The following is a 20,737-nucleotide window of genomic DNA, read 5'->3' as shown; positions in this document are numbered from 1 at the left end:
GTTGCAGTGGACCAAGATTGTGCCATTGCACTCCAGCCCGGGCAACAAGACCAAAACTCTGCCTCAGAAATAAATAAATAAATAAATAAAAATTAAAACGTGCAAATAATTTATTTGGAGAAAGGGAAACTTTTGAAGTGACTAAACCACAAAATATTTAGTGAGGAGTGGTGAAAATAAAGCTGCAAAGTTAAGTGAGAGGCAGAAGATAAGGGGCATAGTGGTGCACACCTGTGTCCTCTATTCTGAAGGCTGCGGTGGGAGAATCACCTGAGCCCAGGAAGTCAAGGCTGTAGTGAGCCAAGATCATGCCACTGCGCTCCAGCCTGGGTGACAGAATGAGACCATGTCTCAAAAATAAAGGAAGTAGGGGGAGATGGGAGATCATATAATGACTCCATAAACAGACAAAGGAATTATAGATGGTGATAAGCGGCATTAATAAACCAGGCATTAGAGTTGTGGTGGAGGCCAACTTCAGATAGAGAAGGCTTTTCAGAGGAACTGACCTTTGAGCTGAGACCTGAAGTTAATTCTGAGCGATTTTGAATTTTTGTTTTTGTGAATGGAGGAGCCATTGAAAGTTTTAAAACAGGAGTTAGGTTACATTTATATTTTTGGAAAGATGACTGAAAGTGTAAGGAATGAATTTGAACTAGGAGAGGTTTTGAAGCTGGAAGATGGGTGAGGCGGCTCTTGCAATCCTTCAGATGAGAAATGAAGTTTGAAATAAGGAAGAGAAAGCCGGGCGCGGTGGCTCAAGCCTGTAATCCCAGCACTTTGGGAGGCCGAGGCGGGTGGATCACGAGGTCAGGAGACTGAGACCATCCTGGCTAATCCGGTGAAACCTCGTCTCTACTAAAAATACAAAAAAATTAGTCGGGCGTGGTGGCGGGCGCCTATAATCCCAGCTACTCATGAGGCTGAGGTAGGAGAATGGCGTGAACCCGGGAGGCGGAGCTTGCAGTGAGCTGAGATCGCGCCACTGCACTCCAGCCTGGGCGACAGAGCCAGACTCCGTCTCAAAAAAAAAAAAAAAAAAAAAGAAGAAGAAATAAGGAAGAGAAGAAGGGAGCAATCTGAGAAAGATTTAGAAGGCATAGTTAATTCTGGATGGGAGAGGTGATGGAGAGGAAGAAGACCAAAATGATTTCGGAGGTTCTGAGTGGGGGCGGGTGACAGTGATTGGAGCTACTGATAAATGAAATAGGAAATAGAGGAGGATAACTGGGTGAGTGGATGAGATCGGGAGAGTAGTAGCTATGTGTTGATTTTGAACTGCCTGTGGGACATTCAGAAATGTCTATGAGGCAGTTGAAAATATGCTTCCGGAGCTAAGAAGAGAAATTTGGGCTGGAAACATTATAAACTCTGAAAACAAGAATCATGGCTTGGAATCATGTTTTGGCTCTGGAAGGACCTTATATACACCCAGCGACTACTCCAACTCAAATTTCATGAATGAGTAATAATCTAGATGCTCACAGATCATATTTAGGACCCAGTTAAGAGTAAAACTCTAGCCAAGGAAAGTGAAGAGTAAGAGAAGACCAATTAATAGTATATTGGTAACAGTCTACTGTTACCCTTGCCTTGCTTGTCCTGAGTCCTGCCCACACCTCCCTCCAGCTGCTGCTGGTCTCCGTGACTATTGCCCCATCACCTAGTGCCTGTTTTCTTGTGGCTGCGGAGAAGGGGGAAGATGTGTTCTACTGGAATTTTAAGTATAGTAGTCTCTCTGTACCCCCAGGGGATACCTTCAGAGAGTCCCAGCACATGCCTGAAACTGAGGGTAGTGCCAAACCCTATATTTACTATGTTTTTTTCCTACGCATATGTACCTATGATAAAGTTTAATTTATAAATTAGGCACAGTGAGAGGTAAACAGCAACAATAATAAAATAGAACAATTACAACAATATGCCAGCATGACTACTCTTGCACTTTGGAGCCATTATTAAGTAAAATAAGAGTGACTTGAAAACAGGCACTGTAATATTTGACAGTTGATCCGATCACGGAGAGGGCTGCTGAGTGACTAACTGGTGGGCAGTGTATACAGTGTGGAAACACCAGACGAAGGGCTGATTCATGTCCACCTGAGCAAGAAGGTGCAAGATTTTATGACACTACTCAGAATGGTATGGTATTTTAAACTTATGAGTTGTTTATTTCTAACATTTTTCATTTACTATTTTCAGACCACGGTTGACCACAGGTAATCAAAACAGGAAAGAGAAACCCCAGATAACGGGGGACTACATTTTCCACAGAACAGTGTCATAAATAGTGGAAAGAATTTCAAAACTGGTTCCCAGAAGCCCACAGTGTATTCAAACAAACAAACAAAAAATGCTTGAAAATGTTTTTGAGAACAGAAGCTCTTCATATATTGGGAACTACATGGATTGTATTTTGCTGTCATTTAGGAGTAGTCGTAGGAGATACTGTGTGACACAGAGATTTTTATCCCAGTAGTGAACTCTGATGATCCACTGGGCCAATACTTTTCAAAAAATCAAAGATCAGACTTATTAATTACTAAAATAAAAATAATAATACAAGCATTTTTATCCAATGAGTGCTATACTCTTGAGCAGTCCTTTCATTAAATTCATTTCCCCTTTTTTTAATATATCTATTTATTTTTTGAGACAAAGTCTTACATTCTGTCACCCAGGCTGGAGTGCAGTGCTGTGATTACAGCTCATTGTAGCCTCCCTCTCCCAGGCTCAACTGATCCTCCGGCCCCAGCCTCCCAAGTAGCTGGAACTACAGGTGCATGCCACCACGCCCAGCTAATTTTTTTTTTATTATTTTTAATGCAGAGGAGGTCCCAGCTACATCACCCGGGCTGGTCTGGAATCCCTGGCCTCAGGCGATTCTCCTGCCTCGTCCTCCCAAAGTGCTGGAATTACAGGAATGAGCCACCACATCCAGCCATTTTATTATTTTGACTTTCACATTTAATTCTATGCTCCACTTCAAAATAGTTTCATGTGCAGTATGAGGTAGAGGTCAAGGCTTGGCTTTGTTTTTAATATGTGGATCTCTAGTTGATGGCCATGCACCATTTATTTAAAAGATCATACTTTCTTATCGAATTGCCATGGCACCTTTGCTCTAAGTCAGGTGACTATAAATGTGTGGGTCCATTTCTAGGTTCCTGATTCTGCTCCATTGATCTATGTGTCTGTTCTAATCACTGTAGCTTTGTAATAAGTCTTGATATCTGGAGAGTGTAAGTCCTCTAGGTTTGTTCTTCAAAATTGTTTTGATTATTCTAGGTCCTTTGCATTGCCATATACATTTTAGAACCAGATTACTGGTTTTCTTTTCTTTTCTTCTTCTTTTTTTTTTTTTTTTTTTTTTTTTTTTGAGACGGAGTTTCGCTCTTGTTGCCCAGGCTGGAGTGCAATGGCGCAATCTCGGCTCACCACAACTTCCACCTCCCGGGTTCAAGCGATTCTCCTGCCTCAGCCTCCCGAGTAGCTGGGATTACAGGCATGCGTCACCACACCCGGTTAATTTTGTATTTTTAGCAGAGACAGGGTTTTTCCATGTTGGTCAGGCGGGTCTTGAGTTCCTGACCTCAGGTGATCCGCCCGCCTCAGCCTCCCAAAGTGCTGGGATTACAGGCATGAGCCACCGCACCTGGCCCAGATTACTGATTTTCATCCCCCCAAAAAATAAAGTGAGAAGGAAGCAAGCAAAGATGGAAGGAAAGAGGGAAGGAAGGAAGGAAGGAAGGAAGGAGTAGGGAGGGAGGGAGGGAGTGAACGAAAGAGAGGGAAAAAGATACTGGGATTCTGATAGGAGTTACATTGATTCTATAGATCATTTTGGGGAAGAATTGAAGTATTAACAATATTGGGCTTTATAAAGTATTAATATGGTCTGTCCCTTCATTTCTCCACTTATTTCATGTTTAATTACTATCAGTAATGTTTTGTAATTTTCAGTAGAGGTCTTACACATCTTCCTTAGGTTACCCCTACCTATTTTATTGTAAATGATACCAACTTGCTATGATTTGAATATTTGTCCCCTCCGAAATTCATATTTAAATTTAATCCCCAATGTGGCAATGTAGAGAGATGGGACCCTTAAGAGATGTTTGGGTGATGTGGGCCCTGTCCTCTTGCATGCATTAACCCATTCATAGATTAATGCAATAATTGGTTAATGGATTAATGGATGGTAGTGTTGGAAGGATGAGAAGCACAGAGACTCCAGATACGTTTTGAAAGTTGAGCCAATATAATACATTGATGTATTGGATGAGGGGTAAGAGAAAAGGAAAAGAGCCAGGCACCGTGGCTCACGCTTGTAATCCCAGCACTTTGGAAGGCCGAGGCAGGTGGATCACCTGAGGTCAGAAGTTTGAGACCAGCCTGGCCAACATGGCAAAACCCTGTCTCTATTAAAAATACAAAAATTAGCCAGGTGTGGTGGCACGCACCTGTAATCCCAGCTACTCAGGAGGCTGAGACAGGAGAATCGCTTGAACCCAGGAGACAGAGGTTGCAGTGAGCCAAAATTGCACCACTGCACTCCAGTCCCTGGGTGACAGAGAGAGGCTCCATCTAGGGAAAAAAAAAAGGCAGAGAGAGAAAAGGAAAAGAATCAAGAATGACTCCAAGGTTTTGGGCCTGAGCAACTGGAAGGATGGAGTTACCAATAACTGAGGTGGGAAGATGGGGGAGCAGCAGGTAGAGGGGAGGGAGGAGGGGGATCAGGAATCAGAGTTGGCCATGTTAAAGTTTAGCATGCCTACTAGACATTCAGATGGAGGGAAGAAAGTGTTTGAAGGAGGAAATGATAAAATGTGTCAGATGCTCAGAGACACCCAGTAAGACGAGGCCTGAGAATTACCAATTGGATTTGGAAATATGGAGCTCGCTAGTAACCTTGCTATATTGGGACCATAGCTGGAGGAGGATGTGGAGGTGTGGGAAGGTTTTTGCATTTTAATTTGGTTTTGTCTTGTTTTGAAGTACGGAAGCTAGTACCTCATGTTTAAAGCTTAGCATGATGATCCAGAAGTGAGAGAAAAATTAAGCTACAAGAGAAAGCAGACAATTTTAAGAGTAGAATCTGATTATGTGAGGAGGGACAGGAGCGAGGACACAGTTGAGGGCTGACCTCAGACGGGAGCACACACAGTTCTCTGTAGCAGAAGGGAAGGTAGAGATAGGTTTGTAGTGGGAGGATGTAGAAGCTCTCTTTTATCCTTTTTTTTTCTTTTGCTGGTTCCACGCCCATGAAGACAAAGAAGCTCTCTTTTGATGGCTTATTTTTTTTGTTTGTTTTTTGTTTTTCAGTAAACCAGGAAGCAATGTCATGAAATGAAGGCACGAAAATGTAACTATTATAAAGACTAATGATTTCAAACTGTGGAGAATGTATTCTTTTTATTGGGATTTTTAATTAAAATATAAGGGTCAAAAATAGTATAGAGTGCAGCCATAAAAAATAAATCATGCCCTTTGCAGCAGCATGGACGCAGCTGGGGGCCATTATCCTATGCTAATGAACATTGGGTACTCATGGACATAGAGATGGCAACAATAGACCCTGGAGACTACTAGAGGTGGGAGGAAAGGCGGGGGCAAGGGTTGAAAAACTAACTATTGAGTACTATGCTCACCACTTGAGTGATGGGGTCATTTGTGTCCCAAACTTTAGCATCACACAATATACCTATGTAACAAACCTGCACAGGTTACCCGCTGAATCTAAAATAAAAGTTGAAATTATAAAGAAAAAAAAAGTTTCCAAAAATAGTGCAGTGAAACAAAATTAAAAATAGGAAATAGGTAAATTAAACTTCCTCAAAACTAAAACCTTTTGTGTCTTAAAAGGCACTCTCAACAGAATGAAAAGACCCATGGAATGGAAGGAAATCTTTGCAAATCATACATTTGACAAGGGTCTTGTATCCATAACATATAAAGAACTCTTACAATTCAACAACAAAAAAACAAAGCAAATAAAAAGTGAGCAAAGGGCTTGAATATACAGGCACACCTCATTTTATTGTCCTTTGCTTTACTGCACTTTGCAGATACTGTTTTCTACAAATTGAAGGTTTTTGCAGCCCTGCATCAGGCAAGTATATCAGCACCATTTTTCCAACAGCATTTGGTCATTTCATATATCTGTGTCACATTTTGATAATTCTTGCACTATTTCTAACTTTATTATTATTATTCATTAGTGATTTTTTTTTTTTTTTTTCTGAGACAGAGTCTCGCTCTGTCGCCCAGGCTGGAGTGCAGTGGCGAGATCTCAGCTCACTGCACGCTCCGCCTCCTGGGTTCATGCCATTCTCCAGCCTCAGCTTCCTGAGTAGCTGGGACTACAGACGCCCACCACCACGCCCGGCTAATTTTTTGTATTTTTAGTAGAGAGAGGTTTCACCGTGTTAGCCAGGATGGTCTCGATCTCCTGACCTCGTGATCCGCCCGCCTCAGCCTCCCAAAGTGCTGGGATTACAGGCTTGAGCCACCGCGCCCAGCCTCATTAGTGATTTTTTTATGTCACTATTGTAATTGTTCTGAGGCGCCACAAACCATGCCCATATAAGACAGCAAGCTTAATTGATAAATGTGTGTTCTGATTGCTCCACCGACCAGCCATTTTACCATCTCTGTCCCTCTTCTCGGACCTATCTTTTCCCTGAGACACAACAATATTGAAATTAGACCAATTCATAACCCTACAATGGCCTTTAACTATTCAAATGAAGAGTCACAAGTCTTCACTTTAAATTAAAATGTAGAAATAATTAAGCATAGTGAGGAAGGCATATTGAAAGCTGAGACAGACCAAAAGCTAGGCCTCTTGTGCCAGTTAGCCAAGTTATGAACGCAAAGGAAAAGTTCTTGAAGGAAATTAAAAGTGCTACTCCAGTGAACACACAAATGATAAGAAAGTGAAACAGCTTTATGGCTAATATGGAGAAAGTTTGAATGGTCTGGACAGAAGATCATACCAGCTACAACATTCCCTTAAGCCAAAGCCTAATCCAGAGCAAGGGCCTAACTCTCTTTAATTCTATGAAGGCTGAGAGTGGTGCAGAAGCTGTAGAAGAAAAGTTGAAGCTAGCAGAGGTTGGTTCATGAGGTTTAAGAAAAGAAGCCATCTCCATAATCTAAAAGTGCAAGGTGAAACATTAAGTGCTGATGTACAAGCCGCAGCAAGTTACTCAGAAGATCTAGCTAAAATCATTTAAGAAGGTGGCTGCACTAAACAACATTTTCAACATAGCGAAAACAGCCTTATATTGGAAGAAGATGCCATCTAGGACTTTCCTACCTAAAGAGAAGTCAATGCTAAGCTTCAAAGCTTCAAAAGACAGACTGACTTTCTTGTTAGAAACTAATGTAGCTGGTGACTTTAAGTTGAAGCCAATTGTCTATTTACCATTCCCAAAACCTTAGGGCCCTTAAGAATATAGCTAAATCTGTTCTGCCTGTGCTCTCTTAAGGGAACAATGAAGTCTGGATGACAACATGTCTATTTACAGCATGGTTTACTGAAATTTTTTTTTAAGAGACAGAGTCTCAGTATGTTGCCCAGGCTGGAGTGCAGTAGTGATTCACAGATGTGATCATTGCACATCACAGCCTCAAATTCCTGGGCTCAAGCACTACCCTGCTTCAGCCACCTGACTAGCTGGGACTACAGGCATGAACCGCTGTGCAATGGCTTGGTTTACTGAATAGTTTAAGCCCACTGTTAGGAACTACTGCTCAGAAAAAAAAAAAAAAAATGATTCCTTTCAAAATATTACTGCTCATTGACAATGCATGTAGTCACCCAAGAGCTCTGATGGAGATGTATAAAGAAATTAATGTTTTCATGTTATTAACACAACATTCTGCAGCCCATGAATCAAGGAGTAATTTTGACTTTCAAGTCTTATTATTTAAGAAATACATTTCATAAAGCTATAGGTGGCATGGATAGTGATTCCTCTGATAGATATAGGCGAAGTAAATTGAAAACTTTCCAGAAAGGATTCACCATTCTATATGCCATTAAGAACATTTCTGATTCATGGGAGGAGGTCAAAATGACAACATCAACAGGAGTTTGAAAGAGGTTGATTCCAGCCCTCTTGGATGACTTTGAAGTGATTAAGACTTCAATGGATAAAGTAACTGCAGATGTGATGGAAATAGAAAGAGAACTAGAATTAGAAGTGACGACAAAAGATGTGACTGAATTGCTGCAATCTCGTGATAAAACATTAAACAGATGAGAAGTTGCTTCTTATAGATGAGCAAAGAGAGTGGTTTCTTGAGATGGAATCTACTAGTGAAGACACTGTGAACACTGTTGAAATGTACAACAAAGGATTTAGAATATTTAATAAACTTAGTTGATAAAGCAGTATCAGGATTTGAGAAGATTGACTCAAACTTTGAAAAAGTACTAATGTGGGTAAAATGCCATCAAACAACGTGACATGCTACAGAGAAATTTTTCTTTAAGAGTCCATCAATGTGGCAAACTTCACTGCTGTCTTTTTTTTTTTTTTTTTTTTTTTTAGATGGAGTCTCACTCTGTCACCCAGGCTGAAGTGCAGTGGCACAATCTCGGCTCACTGCAACCTCCACCCCCTGGGTTCAAGTGATTTTCCTGCCTCATCCTCCCAAGTAGCTGGGATTACAGGCACACGCCACCACGCCCAACTAATTTTTGTATTTTTAGTAGAGATGGGGTTTCACCATGTTGGCCAGGCTAGTCTCAAACTCCTGACCTCAGGTGATCCGCTTGCCTCAGCCTCCCAAAGTGCTGGGATTACAGGCATGAGCCTACTGTGCCCAGCCCATTGCTGTCTTATTTTAAGAAATTGCCATAGCTACCCCAACCTTCAGCAGCCACCACCCTGATCAGTCGTCAGCCATCAGAATTGAGGCAAGACCCTCTACCAACAAAAAGATTACAACTCACCGAAGGCTCCGGTTATTGTTAGCATTTTTTAGCAATAATTTTTTTTTTTTCTTGAGAAGGAGTCCCACTCTCTCGCCCAGGCTGGAGTGCAGTGGCACGATCTCGGCTCACTGCAAGCTCCGCCTCCCGGGTTCATGCCATTCTCCTGCCTCAGCCTCCTGAGTAGCTGGGACTACAGGCACCTGCCACCACGCCTGGCTAATTTTTCTGTATTTTTAGTAGAAACGGGGTTTCACCGTGTTAGCCAGGATGGTCTCGATCTCCTGACCTCGTGATCTGCCCACCTCGGTCTCCCGAAGTGCTGGGATTACAGGCATGAAGCAATAAAGTATTTTTAAATTAAGATAGGTACCTTGTTTTTTAGACATAATGCTATTGCACAGTTAACAGATAGTGTAAAATATAGTGGAAAAATAACATATGCACTAGGAAACAAAAAAATTGGGGTGACTTGCTTTATTACAATATTAGCTTTATTGTGGGGGTCTGGAGCCAAACCCTTAATATCTATGAGGTATGCCTGTGTATTTCTCCAGAGAAGACATCGAAATGGAAGCAAGTGCATTAAAAGATTCTTAGTCACAATATGATGCCACGTCACACCCACTATGATCACCATTAAAAAAATAAAAACACAGAAAATAACAAGTGTTGGTGAGGATGCAGAAAACTGGAATCCCTCATACACTGCTGGTGGGAATGTCAAATGGTGCAGCCACTGTGGAAAACAGTGTGGCAGTTCCTCAATAAGTTGAGCATAGGATGACCATATGACAGCAGTTCCACTCCTAGGTATCTAGCCAACAGAACTGACAACCTGTGTTCAAATAAGAGCTTGCACACAAATGTTCATGCCAGTTGTAGTCACAGTAGCCAAAAGGTGGAAACAACCCAAATGTCCATGAACAAATGAACAATTAAACAAAATGTGGTATGTTCATACAATGGAATAGTATTCAGCTATGAAAAGGAATGAAGTACTAACACATTGTATGACATAGATGAACCTCGAAAACATTTTGCTTAGTGAAAGAAGCCAGACACGAAAGACCACCCATTATATGGTTTTATTTATAATAGGTAAATCCATAGAGACAGAAAGCAGATTCGTGGTTGCCTGGAACTGGGGGGAGGGAATAATGGAGCGTGACTGCCTAATAGGTGCTGGGTTTCCATTTGGGGTGATGAGAAAGTTCTGGACTAGATAGTGGTGGCTGCAGATCATTGTGAATGAACTTAGTGCCACTGAATTATACACTTTAAAATGGTTACAGTGGTCAATTTTATGTTACATGTATTTTAGCACAAATAAAAAGTCGGGCAGTTATATTAGGTTACATTATTTAAAGAGATAAAATACATATGCCATTAAACCTAAACTAATTTCTCATTTAGGGTAATTCTAGGAATCTTATGGGATTTTTAGAACTGGAAAAGACTATAGGATTGATAACTTATGCCTATGTTATAAAGTGTGTTGAAAATATTTAGCAACTTCTCACTTATCACAAAGATTGGAATTATCCTGTTATGCAGATTTCTCCGCCTAAAGGTTTACAGTTCTCTCCGATTCATTGTCTGGGATCCTGACCCTGAACTCAAAGCAACCTTTCCCTAACCATTGCTTCATTTAAAAAAAAAAAAAAAAAAAGCCACCTTACAGGCACCAATCTTGTCTGATTTACTGTGAGTCAACAGGCATAAATCACTTCAATTTATTTCCATTTCTAATAACATTGTTATTGGGGCGATAACAAGTCATGTAAATTAGCCTACATGTTAGAATAATACATAGTCTACAATATATAGTCTGATTTTCTTCATGCTATAAATACCTATAAACATTAGTGTACAGAAGCGGTATATTTAGATCTGACTAAAGAATAAAATATTAAATCAGTATTTGTCTCATGAGCTATGCACAAATGTCTTTATCAATTTACATTTCAAATATAGTTTTAATGACATAGTCATGTCATATAGCTTTTAATAGAGATTCTAGTTTATAGAATATTTGTCTACAAAAAAAGAATTTTCTAAGAACTGGAAAAGCATTTTTCAAAGCAATTTTTCAAAGTATAATAAGTGATCTGTGGTTCTGTAAAGGTAGATAATACCAGATCTTTCAAGTTTCACTGTGCTTCAGGATTGTTCTTGAAGAGATATTCTGCCTACAATTTAAAAAAAGACAAGTCAACAGTTTACAAGTTATTATTAGTCATGTATTTGTATTAGTAATGTTTACAATTTAAAAATCATCCTGGGCCAAGCTTGGTGGCTCATGCCTGTAATCCCAGCACTTTGGGAGGCTGAGGCGGGTGGATCACTTGAGGTCAGGAGTTCGAGACCAGCCTGGTCAACATGGTGAAACTTCCTCTCTACTAAAATACAAAACATTAGCTGAGTGTGGTGGCAGGCGCCTGTAATCCCAGCTACTTGGGAGGCTAAGGCAGGAGAATCACTTGAACCCGGGAGGTGGAGGTTGCAGTAAGCCGAGATTGTGCCATTGCATTCCAACCTGAGCAACAAGAGTGAAACTCTATATCAAAATAAATAATAAATAAATAAATAAGTAAAAGTACATACATTTTTTACTTTCAAATGAATAATAAAAATCTTACATGGGTTTGACCAATGAGGGAAAAAAATCTTATTATAAATGGTGAATATATTAGAAGCTATTTCCCAAAGAACCAGAAACATAATTTTGCTATCTCAACTGGTTTTCTGTTAAGATTCAGGCAGATTAGGCCAGGCGTGGTGGCTCACGCCTGTAATCTCAGCACTTTGGGAGACCGAGGCAGGCAGATCACGAGGTCAGGAATTCAAGACCAGCCTGACCAACATGGTGAAACCCTGTCTCTACTAAAAATACAAAAATTAGCCTGGGGTGGTGGTGCACATCTGTAATCACAGCTACTCAGGAGGCTGAGGCAGGAGAATCACTTGAACCGGGAGGTGGAGGTTGCAGTGAGCCGAGAACGTGCCACTGCACTCCAGCCTGGACGACAGAGTGAGACTCTGTCTCAAAAAAAAAAAAAAAGATTCAGGCAGATTTTTTTTTCTTTTTTTTTCTTTTTTTTTTTTTTTTTGAGACGGAGTCTCACTCTGTCGTCCAGGCTAGAGTGCAGTGGTGTGATCTCGGCTCACTGCAACCTCCACCTCCAGGGTTCAAGCGATTCTCCTGCCTCAGCTTCCTGAGTAGGTGGGACTACAGCGCGTGCCACCACACCCAGCTAATTTTTTTTTTTTTTTTGTATTTTTAGTAGAGACGGGGTTTCACTATGTTGGCAGGGTGGTCTCTAACTCCTGACCACAAGTGATCCCCTGACCTTGGCCTCCCAAAGTGCTGGGATTACAGGTGTAAGCCGCCACACCCAAACTCAAATTGATCTTTTTTTAAAAATTAAATATGTTACCAGAAAATCAACAGGGTCTTCGGGTCGGACGTTGCAACATTCATTCAGGCCCTGAATAAGAGTTGGCATCACATAGGTCATTAAATAGTTTCTCAGGGGAATTGACTGAGCCTCCAGTAATTCTCTTTCTTCTCTTTTCACTTCCTCCAGTCGTTTATTCTAAAATAGAATATTTGGTGGTAAAGTAAATGTGTAGTGAGAAAGGGGAGAACACTCACACAGTTCACCCTACAGTGCATTGAGACACTGCTAGAAATGGTCACCATCTATGATACAGATGGCATTTCCAATCAGCAGAGAAAAGACATAAATGGTGTTACAACAACTTAGCCATTTGGAAAATAATAAATTGGATCACTTCTTACACCAAAATAATTTCTAGCTGCCCAGATGAAGCAAAATAGAAAAAAAAAAAAAAAGAAATGCCACTAGAAAGTCTGGAGGGCATTGGGATAGTGACATGTGCAATTCTTTGCTCAGCATACAGCCACCCTCTCTCTTGGGAATCATAATTCCAAATTTCTTTTGAGAAATCTCCCTTCTCAGCCTAGTGGTTTGGTTTGAGTGGGATTTAAGCCCATCATCCAGCCAGCTCCTGGCCATAGATTCTAATTAAGGATCAGCACAACATCAAAATTGGTTACAATTTACAATACCTAAATTGTAAACAGTACGAGTACAAATACATGACTAATAATAACTTGTAAATTGTTGACTTGTCTTTTTAAAAAATTCTAGTTAAAGATCAGCACATCAAGTGCCCTGCCATGCATGGTAGGTGCACCTAAGAATGAAGCCTCCCATGCAAGGCAGGACAGAGAGGGGGATCCTAAGTCTTTGGTGACATCATTTGAGCCACTATATCAAGCCTCACCTGAAGCCAGCCCTACCCCTGGACTTTTCTGGTTTTCTTTATGGTGAAGTCATTTTGAGTTTGCTTTTCTATCACTTGCAAGATAAAGAGTCCTAGCTGGGCTGGGCGCGGTGGCTCACGCCTGTAATCCCAGCACTTTGGGAGGCCGAGGCGGGTGGATCACGAGGTCAGGAGATCGAGACCACGGTGAAACCCCGTCTCTACTAAAAATACAAAAAAATTAACCGGGCGCGGTGGCGGGCACCTGTAGTCCCAGCTACTCAGGAGGCTGAGGCAGGAGAATGGCGTGAACCGGGGAGGCGGAGCTTGCAGTGAGCCGAGATCGTAACACTGCACTCCAGCCTGGGCGACAGAGCAAGACTCCGTCTCAAAAAAAAAAAAAAAAAAAGTCCTAGCTGATATTTGTTTGAAAGGAGGTCTTTCTTAGCAAGATTGCCAACCCAGAGATCAAAATGGGAAACAGGTGGGTGAATTTGAGTACATATAAACATGAAACTTTTGTGTGGTCAGAGAAAATACCATAAATAATGTTAAAAAATAAATCATGAATTAAGAAAAACTGCAATACATTATTAAAAAGTTAAGATGTGATGAGGATACTATGTGATGCACACTACTTGCCAGGCACGTGCATAGTTTACGTATATTACCTCTTTAGTCACCACAATGACTGTATGAAGTAGGTGCTATCATTATCCCCACTTTACAGATGGAGAAACTGAGACACAGACAGGAGCTTGCACAAGGCCACATACCTACAGAGAGAGTGGAGTGGGATTTGATCTCTAGCAGCACGACTTGGGAGGCCAACTGGAGCCGTTCCTGTTTCTATTGAACTAGTTTATCAGGAGTTCTTTTTGCAAAATAATAAGAAAAAGTCACACAGCCCAAACAGGGGCAAAGAAAATACGCAACATGAGAAGAAACATAAATGCTTAACAAACAGAAAAAGCTGTAAGATTAGTGATCAGAGAAATGAATATTAAAACAATGAGAACAGTTTTTATCAGCCTGACATGTGCGAGTAAAATTGAGAAAGCAGGTTTAGAGAAGGTGTAGGGAAATAGCCACCTGTTAGATGATACATAAACTGGTTTACCATTGCTGGAGGGCAGTTTTTAAATATGTATCAAAACTCAAACCATGTCTAGTTTGACCCAGCAAACTTTAGGAATTTATGTTAAGAAGATTAATCAGGCACCCAAAGATGTGTGCATTGGGCCTGCCTCCCTCCCTCCATCCCTCCTTTCTTCCTTCCTTTCTCCCTTCTTTCCTTCCTTCTTTCCATTTGTTGAGTGCCTGTTATGTGCCAGGCACTATTCTAGGCACTGGATATATGGTAGTGAACAACACAGACATCCCTGTCCTCATGTAACTTAAGTTCTGTGCAGAGAAAAGGCAAGAAACAAGATAAATACATAAAATGTATATAATAGGTAGAGTAAGTACAAAGAGGAAAATTAAAAAGTATAAAAGGGGATGTGACAGGTTGTGGGGAGGGGTAGACATTGAATTTTACAGAGACCAGGAAATGCCTCACTAGAAAGACAACTTCTGGTAAAGATGCCAGGTGTCTGTGAGGCAATGAGTCATGCAGATGACCAAGACCACCATTGGTGCACTGTTTGAAATTGGGAAATATCAGAAGCAGCCAGGTCACAAAGGACCTTGACCACAATGACAAGTTTGGATTTTTATCAAATTGTGATAATTGAGAGCCTGTGAGGAGTTGTAAGCAGAGAATGGCCATAGTGGGTCTGCAGTTTGGAAGGATCACCTGGCAGCTGCGTAGGAACAGACTGGAGATGGAGCAGGGTGGAGTTGGGGAGGACAGTGAGAAGACACTGCGTAATTCGGATGAGAAACACTGCCCCTGATCAGAAGTAGAGAGCTTGGGACAGATTTGGGTGCCATTTTTGGTGATGGTGGTGTTTGTTTTTTGAGACAGGGTCTCACTCTGTCATCCAGGCTGGAGTGCTGTGGCATCATCATAGCTCATGGCAGCCTCAGTCTCCCAGGATCAAACAATCCTCCAGGCTTAAGCAATCCTCCCACCTTAGCCTCCCTAGTAGTTGGGGCTACAGGCATGCCACTATGCCCAGCTAATTTTTATTTAGTAGAGTCAAGGTCTTGCTATGTTGCCCAGGCTGGTCTTGAATACCTAAGCTCAAATGATTCTCCAGCCTCACCCTCCCAAAGTGCTGGGATTACAGGTATGAACCACCATGCCCAGCCTAAGAGTGCTATTTTTGGAAGCAGAATCACTTACTAGATTCAGTGATTTGGGGAATGAGGAGGGGTGGAAAGAAGCTGACCACCTGGGTAGGTTAGATGGGTAAATGGAGGAAAATCAAATCAAATCATGAGGTCAATGCATAGTAAAATGTTACACATTTACAGGAATTTGTATTACTAATACACCTGCTAATGGCTAGTTTTTGTTACTAATACTAAGCAAGCTGGGCATGGTGGCTCATGCCTATAATCCCAGCACTTTGGGAGGCAGAAGCGGGTGGATCACTTGAGATTAGGAGTTTGAGATCAGCCTGGCTGGCCAACATGGTGAAACCCCATTTCTACTAAAAACAGAAAAATGAGCTGGGCTTGGTGGTGCACACCTGTAGTCCCAGCCACTGGGGAGGCTGAGACAGGAGGATCACTTGAACCCGGGAGGCAGAGGTTGCAGTAAGCCAAGATTGCACCACTGCACTCCAGCCTGGGCGACAGAGCCAGACCCTGTCTCAAACAAAAAGAAAAAGAAAAAAAAAAAAACTAAGCAAAAGACCATGGATATCCTTTTTTAAATGGTACAAATGACAAAAAGCAAACACAAATTTGTTTAGGGTATTTCCATGACATTTCCCTAGAGCAGGATGGGAAGTGGAACTGGCCTAAATGGCTTTGCCAGGCACCGCACCCCTGTTCCACAGATACACAGACTCACAAACACACTCACCACTCACCCACTCCTCCCAGCGAGCTATCTTCTCTGCCATCTCCACGGCCTCCTGGTGCTCGCGTTCTGCTTCCTCAGCAGCCTCCCTGGCCAGCCGCTCCTCCGCAGCCTTCCGCTCCTCTTCTGCCTTTTCTTCGTCTGTTAAACCATAATTTCGAGGCTCCCCAATCTCTTTGATGAGCTGTTTGATAGCAAGTCTATTCTGAGCATCTTCAAGTTTTCCTACATCTTTAAATACCAGGAGAGAGATCAACACATACTTATATTCTAGGCCTGCCTGCAATTGGGAAAATTCTTTATTACTATAAACTTGCGATAGTCAATTATGTAAATTACCACATAGGGTTTTCTTTTCTAATTGCCAGCATAGTTCAGAATTTCTTCTCTCACGGGCAAATATCAGACCAGAGTCTGAGGGCTGTGGGTAGGAAAATTTGGACTTGGGTCTATGAGTTCTAACAATGACTTGATTTGAGTGGTTGAATGGGGGAATGGATTGCCTGAAAAGTAATGAGCTCTCCATGCCTGGAAGTATTCAAGCAAAGACTGGGACACTTCTTTCAGAGGTTTCTACAGAAGGAAGTCCTGCACTTGTGGGAGGCCAAACAGGGTGACCTTTCTGAAAATCAATGATACTGGGATACATTTTCAATTCATAAAAAAATAACCATTTCAGTGAGTCTACTTGAATAGGAAAAATATCCAGACTCCAGAATATCTGAAAAATGTTAGTATCAAGACCAAAGAGAAGAAAAAGAGAAATGGTGTATTGATAAATACTGAGATCTCCACGGTCACTGAGGTGGTAAATTCTATGCCACTCTCTTAGGGCTGCTTGGAAGGTGTCTGCAGAGAACGATGTGCAGCAGACACATTTTGGTACTAAGCCCCTTCAGACCTTCCTCTGGGTAGCTGCTTACCCCACGCCCATTCATAGTCACTGCTGTGCCCACCCCTCCCATGTTTGTTTTTTATTGTTTTGTTTTGTTTTTATAGAGACAGGGTCTCCCCATGTTGCCCAGGCTGATCTTGAACTCTTTGGCTCAAGCAGTCCTCCTGCCTTGGCCTCTCATAGTGCTGGGATTACAGGCATGAGCCGCCACCCCTCCCATGTTTGTATGACCTTGACCTAGACCAGAAGCACCACCAAGTTCTAATATGGGAAGAGGGGAGGAGCAGAGCCAGTGCACTGGTTGGTGAACAGAAGCAAACCTTTAAAAAAGCAAAAAACAGCTGGCCATGGTGGCTCACACCTGTAATCTCAGCACTTTGGGAGGCCGAGTAGGTTGAGGTCAGGAGTTCAAGACCAGCCTGGCCAACATGGAGAAACCCCATCTCCACTAAAAATACAAAAATTAGCCTGGTGTGGTGGTGCACACCTGTAGTTCCAGCTACTTGGGAGGCTTAGGCAGGAGGATCACTTGAACCCGGGAAGCAGAGGTTGCATTGAGTTGAGATTGAGCTACTGTACTCCAGCTTGGGTGACAGAGCAAGACTTTGTCTCAAAAAAAAAAAAAAAAAAGGTAAAAGTCATATCGGTAGCTCCTCATTGCCTGACCTGTGACATTTAAATGCATTTCTCACTGGGTGTGGTGGCTCACGCCTGTAATCCCAGAACTTTGGGAGGCCGAGATGGGCAGATTGCTTGAGGCCAGGAGTTTGAGACCAGCCTGGCCAACGTGGTAAAACCCTGTCTCTACCAAAAACACAAAAATTAGCTGGGCATGTGGCATACACCTGTAATCCCAGCTACTTGGGAGGCTGAGGCAGGAGAAACGCTTGAACCCAGGAGGCAGAGGTTGCAGTGAGCCAAGATTGCGCCACTGCACTTCAGCCTGGGTGACAGAGGGAGATTCTGTCTCAAAAAGAATAAATAAAATAAATAAATAAATAAATAAATGCATTTCTCCCTGATTACTCTGAGTAGTTACAACCTTGATATCACTAACTGGACACCTTTGAGAAGGTACTTGGGAATGATTCCCCCTAGCAATATTCCACTCTGACCCCAGAGTGGGGCCACTGCTGATTAGACTGGGGTGGGGCACCTCAGCCCGAACTGTGACCAGCAGAGTTGCCCTTCAGGGAATGTGGGATTGGACACAGTGAAGTCAGCTCTGGCCTTGGCTCCCAGGGTAGCATTGTAACTCTGGGGTGTGGGGTGGCCTCAGCCTACCACACAGGCCACAGAGGGGGAGAGTACACTGGCCCAAAGAAAGAGAGGACAAAGAGACACTGAGAGAGAAGCAGAGTCCAGAGCTGATGAGAGGATGTGATTCCCAGCATCTTTCCAGGGCCCCATTCCAGACATTGCAGAGGCCGGGCTGCATCCCTGGCTGTGAGACGCCCTCCCCATCTCCCATCCTTAGGATACATTTCTCCCTTCTGCTTTTATATTATCTCCCAGTTGTCAGTTGTAGATGAGGCCAAATGAGATGGGCACAGGATGAGATGGAACACAATGGCCACTCATTCATTCCTCCCTGTTACTTATTTTTTTTCTCAACATTTCTCCTGGGCTCTCCTGATCTTCCTATAAACAGTTTTTGGGACCTAACTGAAAAGATGACAATCACTATTTTTCTGAAATGTATTCTCCATTCTTTCCTAGTTCTCTAAATAATGTAAACTAATTTCCATATTAGGAGGTACAGAACCCTTAGCTTTTACATATAAAGCATGTCCAACATGCAGAAACATGTCCAGATGAGGACAAAACCCAGTCACTGCTCTGAGGGTGCAGACAAGAAGAATTTGCAGATTTATAAATTGTTTTTGTATTTCTTTTTTTTTTTTTGAGACAGAGTCTCACTGTCACCCAGGCTGGAGTGCAGTGGCATGATCTCACTTCACTGCAATCTCTGCCTCCTGGGTTCAAATGATTCTCCTGCCTCAGCCTCCTGGGTAGCTGGGATTACAGGTGCACACCACCACGCCCAGCTAATTTGTGTATTTTTAGTAGAGATGGGGTTTCACCATGTTGGCCATGCTGGTCTTGAACTCCTGACCTCAGATGATCCACCCACCTTGGTCTTCCAATGTGTAGGGATTACAGGCGTGAGGCACTGCACCCAGTCATTTTTTTATTTCATAATAGTATGTCATGTTATGCCTTAGTGTTGGTAGGAATAACAAAATGACCACTTGTTGAACTCCTTCAATGTGCCAGGCACTTCGTATCTCTCATCTCTACCGTTTGTAACAATCCTGCAAGCCTGATTATTTTCCTATTTCACAGATGAGAAAACTGAGGCCCAGCCACAATTGGAATTAGCTCTCCTGCCTCCTGCTGACATTATCCCTTAGCACTAAGCCTCCCGATACTCCAGGGCTCAAATGCTGTCCCATTGGGCAGTTGGGGGTAGAGAGCAGCCCCTGGAGGCCCAAGGTGTGGGCCTGGCCAGGAAGCTTCCACCAGGCAGAAGCTGGTTCTTTCTCACCAAGCCCATAGGAGGAATACGTGCGAAGGTCCAGAAAACCAGAAAGGTAGGTCAGGGGTTCAACAAGCCAAGGGAAGTAGCAGCAGCTGTGAAAGCTGAGAACTGGAGCCAGGAATGATAATGGTGACGATGAGGCTGACGTGATGCGGGATCATGAGTGCTTGCTGTGTGCTAAGCTCAGAGCTGTGTTTACAGGAAACAAGAAGGAACGCAGTGAAGAGCTATTTGCTCTTCTGGGTAGCTACGGGGATGGGCTGGCCAGTCAGAAGGCTGGGAAAGGGTCTGGAAGAGCACCAGTGCCCAATAATTTAACAGGGACAGAACACTGCTCCCAAGGAACCTGGGGGAATGGCCCAAGCAGCCAGCACCATACACACATTTCTTTAAAAAAAAAAAAAAAAGAGTTTGTCGGCCAGGCACGGTGGCTCACACCTATAATCCCAGTACTTTGGGAGGCCGAGGCGGGCAGATCACGAGGTCAGGAGATCGAGACCATCCTGGCTAACACAGTGAAACCCCGTCTCTACTAAAAATACAAAAAAATTAGCCGGGCACTGTGGTGTGCACCTGTAGTCCCAGCTACTCGGGAGGCTGAGGCAGGAGAATGGCGTGAACCCGGGAGGCGGAGTTTGCAGTGAGCCGAGATGGTGCCACTGCACTCCAGCCTGGGCAATAGAGCAAGACTCCATCTCAAAAAAAAAGAAAAAAAAATTAATCAGGCCTGGTGGCATGTGCCTGTAGTTCCAGCTACTTGGGAGGCTGAGGCAGGAGAATTGCTTGAACCCGGGAAGCAGAGGTTGCAGTGAGCCAAGATTGCACCACTGCACTCCAGCTTGGGCAACTGAGCGAGACTCCATCCCCCCACAAAAAAAAAAAAAAGGATTTGTCATTTGACTTCACAATATATCCATAAATTCTCATACGATAATAACACCCTCCCACCACCAAATCCCCACATAGAATGACTCCCCAGGAGGAGTGCCCTGTGTATTTCATGGCTTCCTGTGCCCCAACCCATGATTACACTCCCCACCCTCCCCCCAGCCCCACAATTACAGCTAGACCTGCACCAAGCTTTGCTGG

The 20,737-nt window shown here is 42.8% G+C and overlaps 1 protein-coding gene across 10 annotated transcripts in view; it reads right to left on the bottom strand.

Annotated features, from left to right (window-relative positions):
- AK7 (adenylate kinase 7) overlaps positions 10,014–20,737 on the bottom strand; it is a 97,300-nt gene continuing 86,576 nt past the window's right edge. For 5 of the 10 annotated variants that reach the window (XM_006720021.3, NM_001350888.2, XM_017020958.2 and 2 more), the window contains 3 exons: positions 16,222–16,442; positions 12,385–12,543; positions 10,014–11,483 (listed from right to left, as the gene is read on the bottom strand). In XM_006720021.3, the coding sequence (XP_006720084.1) occupies positions 11,424–11,483; positions 12,385–12,543; positions 16,222–16,442 (440 nt within the window). In that variant the 3' untranslated portion in view covers positions 10,014–11,423. The remainder of the gene's footprint in view (positions 11,484–12,384; positions 12,544–16,221; positions 16,443–20,737) is intronic. The other 5 variants (NM_152327.5, NM_001350890.2, NM_001350892.2 and 2 more) reach the window with 1 other exon arrangement.

The sequence above is a fragment of the Homo sapiens genome, chromosome 14, assembly GCF_000001405.40.
Source record: "Homo sapiens chromosome 14, GRCh38.p14 Primary Assembly".
Classification (NCBI taxonomy): domain Eukaryota; kingdom Metazoa; phylum Chordata; class Mammalia; order Primates; family Hominidae; genus Homo; species Homo sapiens.
This window is presented reverse-complemented; position numbering and strand designations above follow the sequence as displayed.